This window comes from Homo sapiens, chromosome 13 (assembly GCF_000001405.40).
Source record: "Homo sapiens chromosome 13, GRCh38.p14 Primary Assembly".
Taxonomy (NCBI): domain Eukaryota; kingdom Metazoa; phylum Chordata; class Mammalia; order Primates; family Hominidae; genus Homo; species Homo sapiens.
The window spans coordinates 62,235,886-62,250,183 of record NC_000013.11 but is presented as its reverse complement, the minus strand read 5'-3'; the positions used below and the strand labels follow the sequence as shown (position 1 = coordinate 62,250,183).

The following is a 14,298-nucleotide window of genomic DNA, read 5'->3' as shown; positions in this document are numbered from 1 at the left end:
AGAAGGGGGGATAAAGGAAGTTGGGGAACACATGATACTATGACCTCATATGTGTACTATGAGTATTGTGATACTCACATGTGAACATACTTACAGAGAATGACCAAATAAGCTTCTTTTCAGAAGGGTTCAGTCCCTTAAAGTGTATAATTGTTAATGATAAGTCATTAGGGTAACACTCTAATAGACTACATTCAGACCAAAGTGTGCCTCTAAACAGAGAAACTGAAATGCGATGGAATTAAACCATATATTAGAAAAAATTATTTTAGATTAATATTCATTATCCCTACACAGGGCATTTTCTCCTGTGGTTGCTTGAAAGCCTTTGTCTGGAGGGAATACTCTCTCTTTTTACTGAAAAAAATAGAAAAGGAGAACATTATTAAAAGTAAATAAATAATAAGTATTTCTTTATTATTATTTTTTATTATACTTTAAGTGCTGGGATACATGTGCAGAACATGCAGGTTTGTTACATAGGTATACATGTGCCATGGCAGTTTGCTGCACCCATCAACCCGTCATCTACATTTGTATTCTCCTAATGCTATCCCTCCCCTAGCCCCCCAACCCCCGACAGGCCCTGATGTGTGATGTTCCCCTCCCTGTGTCCATGTGTTCTCATTGTTCAACTCCCACTTATGAGCGAGAACATAGGTTGTTTAGTTTTCTGTTGCCATCTTAGTTTGCTGAAAAATTATGATTTCCAGCTTCATCCACGTCCCTGCAAAGGACATGCACTCATTCCTTTTTATGGCTACATAGTATTCCATGGTAGTAACCAAAACAGCATGATACTGGTATCAAAACAGATATATAGACCAATGGAACAGAACAGAGGCCTCGAAAATAACACCACACACCTACAGCCATCTGATCCTTGATAAACCTGACAAAAACAAGCAATGGGGAAAGGATTCCCTATTTAATAAATGGTGTTGGGAAAACTGGCTAGCCATATGCAGACAACTGAAACTGGACACCTTCTTTATAACTTATACAAAAATTAACTCAAGATGGAGTAAAGATTTAAATGTAAGACCTAAATCCATAAAAACCCTAAAAGAAAACCTAGGCAATACCATTCAGGACATAGGCCTGGGCAAAGACTTCATGACTAAAACACCAAAAACAATTGCAACAGAAGCCAAAATTGACAAATGGGATCTAAGTAAACTACAGAGCTTCTGCACAGCAAAAGAAACTATCATCGAGTGAACAGGCAACCTACAGAATGGGAGAAAATTTTTGCAATCTATTTATCTGACAAAGGGCTAATATCCAGAATGTACAAGAAACTTAAACAAACTTACAAGAAAAAAAAAAAATCAAAAAGTGGGTGAAGGATATGAACAGATACTTTTCAAAATAAGACACTTATGCAGCCAACAAACATATTAAAAAGCTCATCATCACTGGTCATTAGAGAAATGCAAATCAAAACCACACTGAGATACCATCTCATGCCAGTTAGAATGGCGATCATTAAAAAGTCAGGAAACAAGTCAGGCATGGTGGCTCATGCCTGTAATCTCAGCACTTTGGGATGCCCAGGCGGGCAGATCACGAGCTCAGGAGATGGAGACCATCCTGGCTAACACAGTGAAACCCCATCTCTACTAAAAATACAAAAAAATTAACCAGGCGTGGTGGTGGCACCTGTAGTCCCAGCTGCTGGGGAGGCTGAGGCAGGAGAATGGTGTGAACCCAGGAGGCGGAGCTTGCAGTGAGCCGAGATCGTGCCACTGCACTCAAGTCTGGGCAACACAGCGAGACTCTGTCTCAAAAAAAAAAAAAAAAAAAAAAAGTCAGGAAGCAACAAATGCTGGAGAGGATGTGGAGAAACAGGAACGCTTTCACACTGTTGGTGGGAGTGTAAATTAGTTCAACCATTATGGAAGACAGTGTGGCGATTCCTCCAGGATCTAGAACTAGAAATACCATTTGACCAAGCAATCCCCTTACTGGATCTATACGCAAAGGATTATAAATTATTCTCCTATAAAGACACATGCACACTTATGTTTATTGCAGCACTATTCACAATAGCAAAGACTTGGAACCAACCCAAATGCCCATCAATATTAGACTGGATAAAGAAAATAAGTATTTGTTTTTAAAATAAATGTATTAACTGTACAGTATATATAGTATCTAGTCTATATAGTATATAGTATAGTATATAGTGTGAACATGTATATACACACAGAATTTTAGAAGAGCAAAACAAACATATATATACACACAGAGTTTTAGAAGTACACTAGGAAAAAAGTAATGGACACTTAAAGAGGTACAAGCTTCTCTATGTAGCTATTATGGTAGGCTTCAGTATTTTGTGAAATAATCACATTTGTATTTTGCTTCCTTTTTAACTCAACTAATAGCTGTAGTCTGCATTTACAAAAGTTGTCAGAAAATCTACATTTTTACTTTTTTCTTTTTAATTTTTTATCATTTTTTATGAAGCTTTTTATGAAGCCATGATAATCTAGAAATTCAGGGTTATTTAGTCCAAAGAGGTTAAGATCTCCTTCCAAAGTGAGGAAGATGGGAGCTGATAAAGCCAACACTATCAATACTGTTACTTTGCCATGTAACATTGACATTAAAAATTAATCACATCACTCATAGAAGCTTATTCAATAGTCTTTTGAACTTTCTCTGGGCCAGGACTTAGAGCCTTCACTGGTGTTTTCTAGTTTGATTTTAAGATTAGAGCTACATTAGTTCACATGTGGCCAGTTACTGTGGTCCACACACAATCTATAAACGGCATCACTTTTTGACTTCAGCCAGAGTCTCCCACCTTAACCAGATGCCAAACTAAAATAAAACAAGATTTTTCTTTTTATTTTCTGAGCCCAGGTTATCTTCCAGAATGCAGCTTCCTTTATATTGAGTTACTCTATGAAGGCTTCATAACAATGATTCTCAACTGGGACTATTCTAATGCATTTAATGATATTGGCCATCAAAAAGGAAGTTACAGTATTGTTTTATTTTCTGCAGGGGAATTCTTGTCACCTTATATAATTTGTATCATCTGTTCACTAGAAACCAACTCTGATCTGCCAGTGTTTTGGATAAGAGATTTTGTTGGGCCACATCTCTTCTTGTGCTTGTTTTCCTTGCTTATTATAACAGGGTGTAATTAAAAAGAATTTGTTCCTAGAGTGTCTCTTTTAACTTATAAAATACAAAATAAAAATAATTCTTCCTGTTTCTCTGTATGAAACTTAAGTAGATCCTATAACTTTTATGGATTCTTTTAGTTTAACCAAAATTCCTATGGTCACCACAAATTACAAAACACATACTCAATTCAGGAATTACAACTCTGTTCCAATATCTTTAATTAGCCCTCTATGCTTCAGTGAACAAGAAGTTTTCTTCTTTCCCTTAGCCAGGCCTGTGGCTCATGGGAGTCAGACTTTGCGGAAGCTGTGGGATTGCTTTCCCATTTTTGCTCACTTCTTCCATTACTTGGTGACTCTTAACTGTGACTCTTCCAGGTGAAATGGAGGGCAGAGAAAGAAGAGAAATAACATTGTTGGGGAAGTATGTACCTGACTGGCTCTCTGGGTTAGGCTTGATATTGACTTTTTTTTGGAGGGAGTTGATTTTATGCACATCCCTTGTTGAAAACTCAGCCCATGCTTCGGATGGCTGATCCCCTTCAATTCCTAGATTTCCAATGTTTATTTCCACACAGACTTTTCTGCTGTGGTGCATTGTGCAGGAGCAAATATACAAATATTACCTTTTTTTTTTTTTGTGATGGAGTCTCGCTCCGTCACCCAGGCAAGAGTGCAGTGGGGCAATCTTGGTTCACTGTGACCTCTGCCTCCCGGGTTCAAGCAATTCTCCTGCCTCAGCCTCCTGAGTAGCTGGGACTACAGGCTTGCACCACCATGCCCGGCTAATTTTTGTATTTTTAGTAGAGATGGTGTTTCACCATTTTGGTCAGGCTGGTCTCGAACTCCTGAACTTGTGATCCACCCACCTCGGCCTCCCAAAGTGCTGGGATTACAGGCGTGAGCCACCGCTCCTGGCCGCAAATATTATCTTGATGCTTGAAGAGACTTCAATGTTAAAATCACAAACATTAACATGTTGTTACACACATGCACACACGTGCACACAAACATGTCATTAATAAAAGCACTTGGGTTGATTCATCCAATAACATATAATTTGTTTTAAGGTTATAGGCTCATGGTGTTTACAGTCATGGAAACAATGGCATATTTTTTGAAGTTCTTCCTGGCTAGGCCCTCTGTTGCATAAGCTGTTTTCTGTAATCCTGCCCCTTACATTGAACTTGCTCAGTCTATGTTGATTCCTAGTTGCACCATGAAATCTGATGAGGCCTTACAAGTTCCAATTTTATTCCAGTTGCTTTGTCATTCTACTTCTTCTCTTCACATTGTTCTTCCAGTCCAGTGGCTCTTAATCCTCACTACACTCTGGGATCATCGGGAGATTTTGGAAACTGTTGTGGCTCAGTTTTCACCCAATAGGTTGGTAGTTAATTGTGCTGAGGTGGAACCCTGGCATAAATATGTTTTTAGAAACTCTTCATGTGATTCCAATGTGCATCCAAGGTGAGAACTACTACCTTGGTCATTCTTCCTGATTCTTGGTTTTATTCTGATTTGGCATTTGCTCTCCTGCTTCATAGTAAGAATCACTTGCTTTTAGCAAAAAAAAATTCGCCCTGATGTTGTATTTCTCAAAAAGTAAAGATTGGTAGAAATATTATATGTTATACATCTATCTATCTTTCTATCTATCTATCTATCTATCTATCTATCTATCTATCTATCTACCTACCTACCAATCAAGAGAGAGAGAAATGTGGTTGCAATAATGACATTTTTATATGTCCAGACTCAAACCATTACTCCATCTTCCCTTAATTCCTTTAAGTATTTACTAAAGTAATTCTTTTTCATATATTAGGGACTTAGTTGTGTCCCTCCAAAGTTCCTATGGCGACTTCCTTCCCCATTTTCTTGGAATGTGACCATATTTGGAGACACAGTTTTTAAAGAAGTAAGTAGGTTAACTTGGGTCCTTGAGATGAGCCAGATTCTACTATGACTAGTGTCCTTATGAAAAGAAGGGATTTAGGACACTTACATGCACAAGTAAGCACCATGTGAAGACAAGGGAAGAAGGTGGCTATCTTCAAGCCAAGCAGAGAGAATTAAACCACTACAGTCAACACCATGATACTGGACTTCTAACCTCCAGAACTGTGAGAAAATTAATTTCTGTTGTTTAAGCTACCCAATCTCTAGTACTTTGTTATGGCAACCCTAGAAAACTAATACATCATATTTCTCAACTACTATTTACCTAAATCAGGCCTTAACCATTTCAACCAGGATGATTGTATTTGACTCTGTATTCTACCCCTAGTCCCAAGGATAATTTGAATTCAGTCTCCAAAATACAGTCAGAATGATCTACCGAAAATACAACCACAACTGCTATATCATTCCTACTTAAATTATTTGAGTGACCTATCTTCCAGTCCATATATTGCTATCTTGATTTTAAAATTCATTCTCAACTGTTTGCATATGTGTGTGATAAGCATGTTTATAAAAATTTTTATACTAATTATTCTAAACTCTCTGTACATTGTTCTCCTTTATATTTTTTTTAAATTAAGTTTATTGAAGAATTATGTCAGAAAAACTTAATATCACTCTCTGCAATGGTCCTAGTTGAGTCAATATAGTCACCATGGTACTAAAATATCCTGTGTATAAATCAGTTATTATATATATTTAATAATTAGAGTTATATGTTTCTATGTCTATTTTGACTTATGGATTATACAATTCTTAAGGAATCTATTATTTTAAATTCATTTTATAGTACCCATTAGTCCCCAGAGTTTAATACAGTATTTACAGTAAAAGCATTTACTATTTGTTAAAGAAATTTTGGGCTCACTTTTACAGTGTATGTTTAATTGCTAATGTCACAGATTACATACAACTCCTAACAGATAATACAACCCCAAGGTGACTGCTTAAAAACTTTCTTTACATTTTACTTTGAGAGCATATGACCTTTACCAGTGATAACATAAACTAATATGGATTTTATTCTGTTAGATTTTATCATTCAGTGAAAGAAGATAATAAATATATGTTACATAGAATGTGAACCTGCTGAAATTGTATGAAAATTTGAGCACACATTGCATTTGAGTATGTATTTTTGCTGAAGGACTTTTTATCTAGTCGTCATGTTTATTGATTACAAACTTTTAAAAAGCTTGATTATATATTTTAAGTCTTATATTTTACATTAATCCAGGCTAATAGTAACCAATAACATAAATCATATTATCTTGAGTCTTTCTGGAGTATTTTGGTATTTATTCCTCCACTTCTATTGAGGATTGCTGTCTTAAAAGCAAACAAACACAATAAGACAAAATAGCAACTGCAAAGCCTTTTGAAAGCTTTTTTTCCTGAGGGAGTTTTGATGAAAACACTGCCCATTACAACACAGTGCTCTATTAAGTTTCCCTATAAAGAATGATTTATGCACATCCACTTTCATCAATTTGGCAAATATTTATTGTTTCCTGCAGACTTGGCACTTTGTTTTACATCTCAAATACATTGATAAATTAGATAGTTTCTACTCTTTGAAGACAAAATTATAGAGAAGGGAACAAATATATGAACTAATAATATGTAAGGGGAAAATATGTAAATATTTACAGTGAGAAGAGATAACCACTGAGTAATACTTTATATTGGGTATTAAAGATGATATCTCTAAGTAGATTATATTTAAACTGAGGCCTAAATGTCATGAAGGAGGCAGACATACAAAGGTTACATAAAACTCATTATTGACAGATGGAGTTATTAGTGCAAGGTCACTAAAATGGAAAAGAGTTTGGCATAACTCATGGTAAGTTAGAAGACCAGAATGTGTGCCTCTAAGTGGGAGAAAGGAAGCGTGGCAGAAGATCAGATCTCAGAGATCAGCTGAGAGAAGGTCAGGTTTGACATTATACACCTTGGTAAACAGTTGCGAAATTATTCTAAATGGGATGGGAAACCAGTGTGGAATTTTCAGCAAGAGACATGACAAGATCTGATTTCCAATTTTAATAGAACTCATTGGTTTCTCTGTGAATAACAGATTTTATACAAGCAAAAATAAGAGAGAAACTGTGATGGCTCATTTGTGGTTAGCACTGGATAATATTCCATTGCCTGGATGTACTACAGTGTATCCATCTTATTCATCTACTTATTCATCTATATATATTAGAAATAATATAATCAACATATTATTTCTAAGTTTGAGTAGTTATGAATAAAGATGCTACAATCACCCAAGTGCAGGTTTCTGCCTTTGTAAGTTTTCAATTTACTTGAGTAAATGCCAAGGAGGTTACTGGGAGTCATGCACAGCATAATGACGTTTCAGTTGATGATAGAGCATATATAGAATGATGGTCCTTAGATTATAATGGAGCTGAAAAACTTACATCACTTAGTGATGATATAGCCATTGTAAAATCATAGTGAAATATGTTACTCAAGTGTATGTGATGATTCTGGTGTCAATGGACCCACTAAATTGGGACTCAAATAAAAGTGTAGCACATACAGTTATATACAGTACATAATACTCGGTAATGATCGCAAGCAACTATTCTACTGGTTTGTGTATTTACCATACTAAAATTTTTATAATTAATTTACAGTGTACTCCTTCTACTTATTAAAAAGAAGTTAACTGTAAAACAGCCTCAGGCAGGTCCTTCAGGAGGTATTCCAGAATAAGGCATGGTTATCATAGGAGATGACAGTTCCATGCATGTTATTGCCCCTAAAAACCTTTCAGCAGGACAAGCTGTGGAGGTGAAAAGGAGTGATATTGATGATCCTGACCCTATACAGGCCTAGGTTAATGTGTGCTTTTGTGCCTTAGTTTTTAACAAAAAAGTTTATTAAAAAAACTAAAAATAGAAAAAAAGCTTATAGGCCAGGAGTGGTGGCTCCCGCTTGTAATCCCAGCACTTTGGGAGAGCAAACGAGTGGATCACCTGAGGTCAAGAGTTTGAGACCAGCTGGCCAACATGGTGAGACCTCATCTCTACTAAAAATACAAAAATTAGCTGGACGTGGTGGTGTGTGCCTGTAATCCTAGCTACTCGAGAGGCTAAGGCAAGAGAATCTCTTGAACCCGGGAAGTAGAGGTTGCACTGAGCTGAGATTGCACCATTGCACTCCAGCCTGGGCAACAAGAGCGAAGCTCCATCTCAAAAAAAAAAAGAAAAAAAAGAAAGAAAGAAAAAGAAAAAAGCTTATAGAATAAGAATATAAAGAAAGAAAAATTTTGTACTGCTGTGCAATGTGTTTGTGTTTTAAGCCAAATGTTATTACAAAAGAGTAAAAAATTTTAGAAAATTTTTAAAGTTTATAAAGTGAAAAAGCTTATAAACTAAGTTTAATTTATTATTAAATAAAAATTTTAAAATACATTTAGTATAGTCTAATTGTGCAGTGTTTACAGAGTCCACAGTAGTTTACCGTAATGTTCTTGGCCTTTGCATTCACTCACCACTCACTCACTGACACCCACAGCAACTTCCAGTACTGCAAGCTCCATTCATTATAAATGTCCTTTTTAGGTATACTATTTTTTAATCCATTATACCTTATTTCTACTGTAAAATGTTTATCTTTTGATATGTTTAGACATACAAATACTTATTGTGTGTCACATTTGCCTACAGTATTTAGTACAGTAACATGTTGTACAAGCTTGTAGCCTAGGAGCAATAGGCTATATCATATAGTCTAGGTGTGTAGTAGGCTATACCATCTAGGTTTCTGTAAGTACCTCCTATGATGGTCACACAACACATTCCTAGAACATAGTTACATCATTAAGCAATACATCATTCTATTTATTTTTTAAAAATATTATTTGAGAAAATTCTACAGGATCAACTGTGTTTGTTTCTACTATGCAGGAAATATTTTGTGTTCATGAAAGATGTAAATTTGTATCATTTTAGTGATATTCCTAGTATATGTATTTTTTATTTTCCCTTTCTTTTTTCCTTAAAAGTGCTATAAAATCCTGAAGCTGGTTTTATTTATCATGACTACTATAATGAACTATCCATTTTTCAGAAATTTTAAATAAGATTAAATAAAAGTTAGGATGATTTTGACATTGTCAAAACCTAAAAACAAAGGGCATCTTAATGTTAAGCCTGTGACTCTGGCGAAATTAACTTGACATAAATGATAGGATGAAAGCCCAACTGGAGGGAGTGAAGGGGGCCTGAGAAAGCGTTGTTCTTAGACAACCCAAGACAATTTGCACTGAAATGAAAAGGAAAGAATTCAGAAGATAATTATCTTGATTATCCTTTTCTTTTTTTCCTTTTTTTTTTTTTTCAGATAAGAGATACCAGAGAACAGTATTTGTTGTTATAACTACATGGCAAGACTTTTTTTTTTTTTTCTTGAGAGCTGATGCAACACCTCTTTATTAACAATAAGAACTATCTAAAAAGACTGTTTATTATTTTCATTTTGACTACCAAAATAACCAAAGCCTATTTTAAGCTGCATTTTATAGCAATTGAATTCAAAATTGTTTTTTCTATAATTGTGATCAAGTTTATCTCTAAGTTTAAAACTTATTCTTTTTTTTTTTTTAATGAAAAATGTTTTGTTTTAGGGACATGGACTTGCTATGTTGCTCAGACTGATCTCAAACTCCTGGCATCAAGTGATCCCCCCACCTAAACCTGTGGAGTAGCTGGGAGTAGGTGCAAGCCACCGTGCTGGGCCAAGAAATTATTCTTTAATTCATGTTATTTTCTGATCCTTTTCCTTTAAATTTATATTTTATCATTTTGCCATATGTCTATCTATAATAGATGGACATATAATATGCCATTCCACATATTTTAAGAAACATGACAGAGCATAAATAAATTAATGTATCTTGAAATGTGATCCTTTCTAACATGTAATGAGGTAGCAAAATGGAAGGCATCTGGAGGTCATTTCAGGGGCTGATCATCTAGGCGTCCCTTGCTATTGGTGACTGTACTTTGTAATTTACTGAAAGGGATTGTTGTACACTAGTCTCTTTTCAACTGTACCTTCTGAAATATAACTGGATGCTAAAAGAGTTTCCATTTCTTCCTCGTTTGCTTTTTTGTCCTACCAGTCTCCCCCAGTCTAAACACATATGAGGTTGAGACGAAGGTTTAAAAATGTCTTTTATAGAGGGTCCATCCATCATCCATATCTCAACACATAATAGAATAAAGTAAGAACAGAGATTTTTTTTTTTTGTCCCAAGCTTGATAGTTCTCTTTCATGAAACTGTGGTACAGATCTACCTCTTAAATGTAAGAGTGATCCATGTGAATACTTCTTTTGTTCAATCCCTCACTCTCTCCCTTTCCTCTCCCTGCAAGGACAGGTAAAATGAGAATCCCTTAGTATAACTTTGATGTGGAAGCAATAAACCTGCAATTTCTGTGCTAAGCAATCTTTAACTGTTTCTTGGCTTTTAAAAAAATATCCAAGATGAGCAGTGCACAGTATTAATGGTATTATTTTAGACACCTAATATGGTGGTTAGACAGTTGATAGATCAATCGATCGATCGATCAATAGATAGATAGATGTACACACTATCACTCAAATCATATACTATGTCATATTACTTAAGTCAGTGAGGTGAGATTAGTCAACACAGGCCAGACAACAAATTGTGCTTTTTCATTTGATCATTCCTATGGAAATGTCACCATTTAGCCATCCAGAATAAGTAAGCTTAACATGACACTTCTGCTTAAAATATTTCTGCTGTGCTGCTTTTAGGATAAAGATGAAAGCTTTTGGCCATGTGTGGTGGCTCATGTCTGTAATCCCAGCACTCTGGGAGGCTGAGGCAGGAGGATTGCTTAAACTCAGAAGCTTGAGGCCAGTCTGAGCAACATAATCAGTTTCCATCTCCACAAAAAGTAAAACAATTAGCCAGGCATGATGCCATGTGCCTGTTCTCCCAACTACTTGGGAGGCTGAGGTGGGAGGATTGCTTAAACCTGAAAGTTGAGGCTACAGTGAGTTGTGATTGTGCTATTGCACTCCACCCTGAGCAGCAGAGCTGGAACCTGTCTCAAAAAAATTTTTTTTAAACTGATTTAACAAGGATACCTTTAATCATCTTCATCCTGCTTACTATTCCCACCTTAATACTTACTACTAGGTTCTTTCAAATGACAGGCTACAGCAATATTTAGTTACACTCCATTCCCTTAATGGGCCATGCTCTATCTCTGTCCTAAACATTCAAACATATACTTGTCTTGGACTTCTAGTTTCTTGTTCTCGAGGTCTCGGCCAAGTCATCCCTTTACATGGGAAGACTTTTCATGATGTATCTCCCCATGACTCCTCACCCATAATCTGAATTACATACCCAACCTTTATGCATATTGCTATTATACTACTTCATGTACTGTGTTGTAAATCTACTTTTTACTTAAAAATATTTTCATTCCCAATATATTTTGGGGGACAAAACTCTTTCCTTTATGGTTGTATCCCACATCATCCAGCAAGCAGAAAATGAATATTAAAAGAAAAATTAGATGAATAAATGGCTTCAAAATTTATTGAGTAAAATCATGTAGAGAACCAAGACAAGCAAATTCAGTAGTACATTCCAGGCATACTGCTAAAGAAAATAGACATATAATTTAGAAAAATACCTATTTCTCTTTCTAACCAATGCCTTTTTTTCTTCCCACAGGCTGAAATTCTTTCATTTTTCTATGGCCTAAGTTTCTATGAGTAAAAAATCTATTAGTAATTCATTTAGAAGGAAATAGTATTATCTTTCAACATTCAAATTCCCATAGAATGATTAGGCTTAGTATTTATTCACTGCCTGTTTTCAATTGCTTGTTCTGTTGCTTTTCTTATAATAAAGGGATTAGAAAGTTTAAGACTGCTCAGTGTTATGATATAAACTGAAATCTATAACAATTCAAAAGGAAATATTAGAAAGCTATCTTTATGTTATTGAGATTCAAATATGTTAAAGATATTAAATATTTCATGTTAATAAAGTTATACAAATTTTTTCATTGGGATATTTGTCCCAATTTATAAAATGTGTATAGATATCGATTTTTTTTTCTTGGAACAAAATAAAACTAATTTTATAAAATTGACATTTGTCAAATAATGACTTAACTTGAAACATATTTATTTACCCTAAATTAACACTTATTAAAACATAGGCTGGGTGCAGTGGCTCACACCTATAATACCAGCAGTTTGGAAAGCCCAGGCTGGAGTATCACTTGAAGCCAGGAGTTCAAGACCAGCCTGAGCAACACAGCAAGACCCTGCCATCTCCACAAGACACAAAATAATAACAGCAATAATAATAATTATCACCAAACTTCTAGCAATTAATTGAAATCAGCTGCAATGCAATTTTGATGAGCAAGAACGCATATAGGCAGGAAAAGATGATCAATGAACATTTTCAGGCATATAATATTATAGTAGGAGGATGACCTAAGGAACTCCGGACTTGGAAACTTTGAGAAGCCTAGGAAGGCAGCATGATGTCAGGCTCCTACCTCGAAAATTTTAAAAGGTTGTATAAACTCAGTCCTCCCTGATCATTTTCAATCCCTACTATATGAAAACCACTGAATATCAGAGCATGAATTCACCAATTAAAAGACCACATTAAAAATAACCTTGGGGCTGGGGGCGGTGGCTCATGCCTGCAATCCCAGCACTTTGGGAGGCCGAGATGGTTGGATCACCTGAGGTCAGGAATTCCAGACCAGCCTGGCCAACATGGCAAAAACCCATCTCTACTAAAAATAAAAAAATTAGCCGGGTGTGGTGGCACATGCCTGTAGTCCCAGCTACTTGGGAGGTTGAGGCAGGAGAATCACTTGAACCCAGAGGGTGGAGGTTGCAGTGAGTGGAGATCACGCCACTGCACTCCAGCCTGGGTGACACAGCAAAGATTCCTCTAAAAAAAAAAAAGCACCTCTGGATCTAAGCTCTAACAATTCAAAAAATGTTGAATCATCTACTCCAGCTTCAGAAGCACTTAACTTGTATCTAGTATGTCTACTCATACAATGGACTAATTAGTTGAAATATAATTCTCTGTCAAAGGAAATAAAGAAAAGAAATGACTTTTTCTTTTCTTAACATTTTAATTCAGAACTTTGTGTTTCTATGTCCAGATCTGTAAACTATTCTTGGCTAGTGAGAGTTTTAAAAAGAAAAGTCCTATAATGGATTCGGCCTTTTAACCTTCAATCAGGCAGCTTTATTTTCAGATAATTCTTCTTAAAATATCAGAATTACTCTGAACAAGTCTTTTGATTGAATATTTCATAATGTATTACCACTTCCTATATCAGGATATAATTCTAACTTCTTTGTAAACTTGTTTAGTTTCTCCACATGTGGATAATACCTCTAGATTATCACATCTAAATGTTCTATAATGAACTAGACAATGGAAAACTTTCTTTGTGATGGTATGCTATTAAAAATTTACAAATCTGCTTCAGGGCATCAGCAGAAACTGCGAAGTTCTTTCTTAACGCTGTAGATGGAAGAGTGGTCAAAATACAGCATTTCCAGTTTTTGTCTTTTAATTCTGAGTGAATGAACTGGAGCCAGATTTCTACCTCCAGCACTCCACTCAAATGGCTCTCTCAAGAATGCGGGTAACTTTGACATTGCTTTAGCCAATGGTCCATCCTTAATCCTCATTTTATTTGAGTAGTCACCCATATTTGACCAGAATTTCAGCGTCAAATGTCCAAAAGCCTAGTATTGTTGGCAATTTCTATTAGAAATCTAGTAAGAATTAGAAGCTTAACATATCAAAAACTTATACTTTAATCTTTTAACCAAAACTTGTTTACCCTGCAGATTTTCTCCCAAGTCAGCTAATGACAACCCATTCTTCAAATTCATCATGGAAAAATTATTGGTGTTATTCTTCCTTGACTTCTTCCTCTCCCTTGTCCCATGCTATCTATCAGAAAATCTGTGGACAGTATTTTCAAAAATGTTCAGAATTTCATCTCTTCTTACTCTGCCAAGTTTATCCTCTGGTCTAAGCCACGAATGTTTCTCATCTAGATCATTGAAAGGCCTTACAAATGTTCCTACTTCTGTCACTTTCCAATTTCTGCATGGCTTGCTATCTCACTTC

General features: G+C 35.6%; 1 long non-coding RNA gene across 1 annotated transcript in view; it reads right to left on the bottom strand.

Moving 5' to 3' along the window:
* Positions 1–232: 232 nt before the first annotated feature.
* The window catches only part of LINC01075 (long intergenic non-protein coding RNA 1075), a 37,670-nt gene continuing 23,604 nt past the window's right edge, over positions 233–14,298 (bottom strand). The window contains exon 4 of the long non-coding RNA NR_125787.1: positions 233–357. This is a non-coding gene — a long non-coding RNA (long intergenic non-protein coding RNA 1075). The remainder of the gene's footprint in view (positions 358–14,298) is intronic.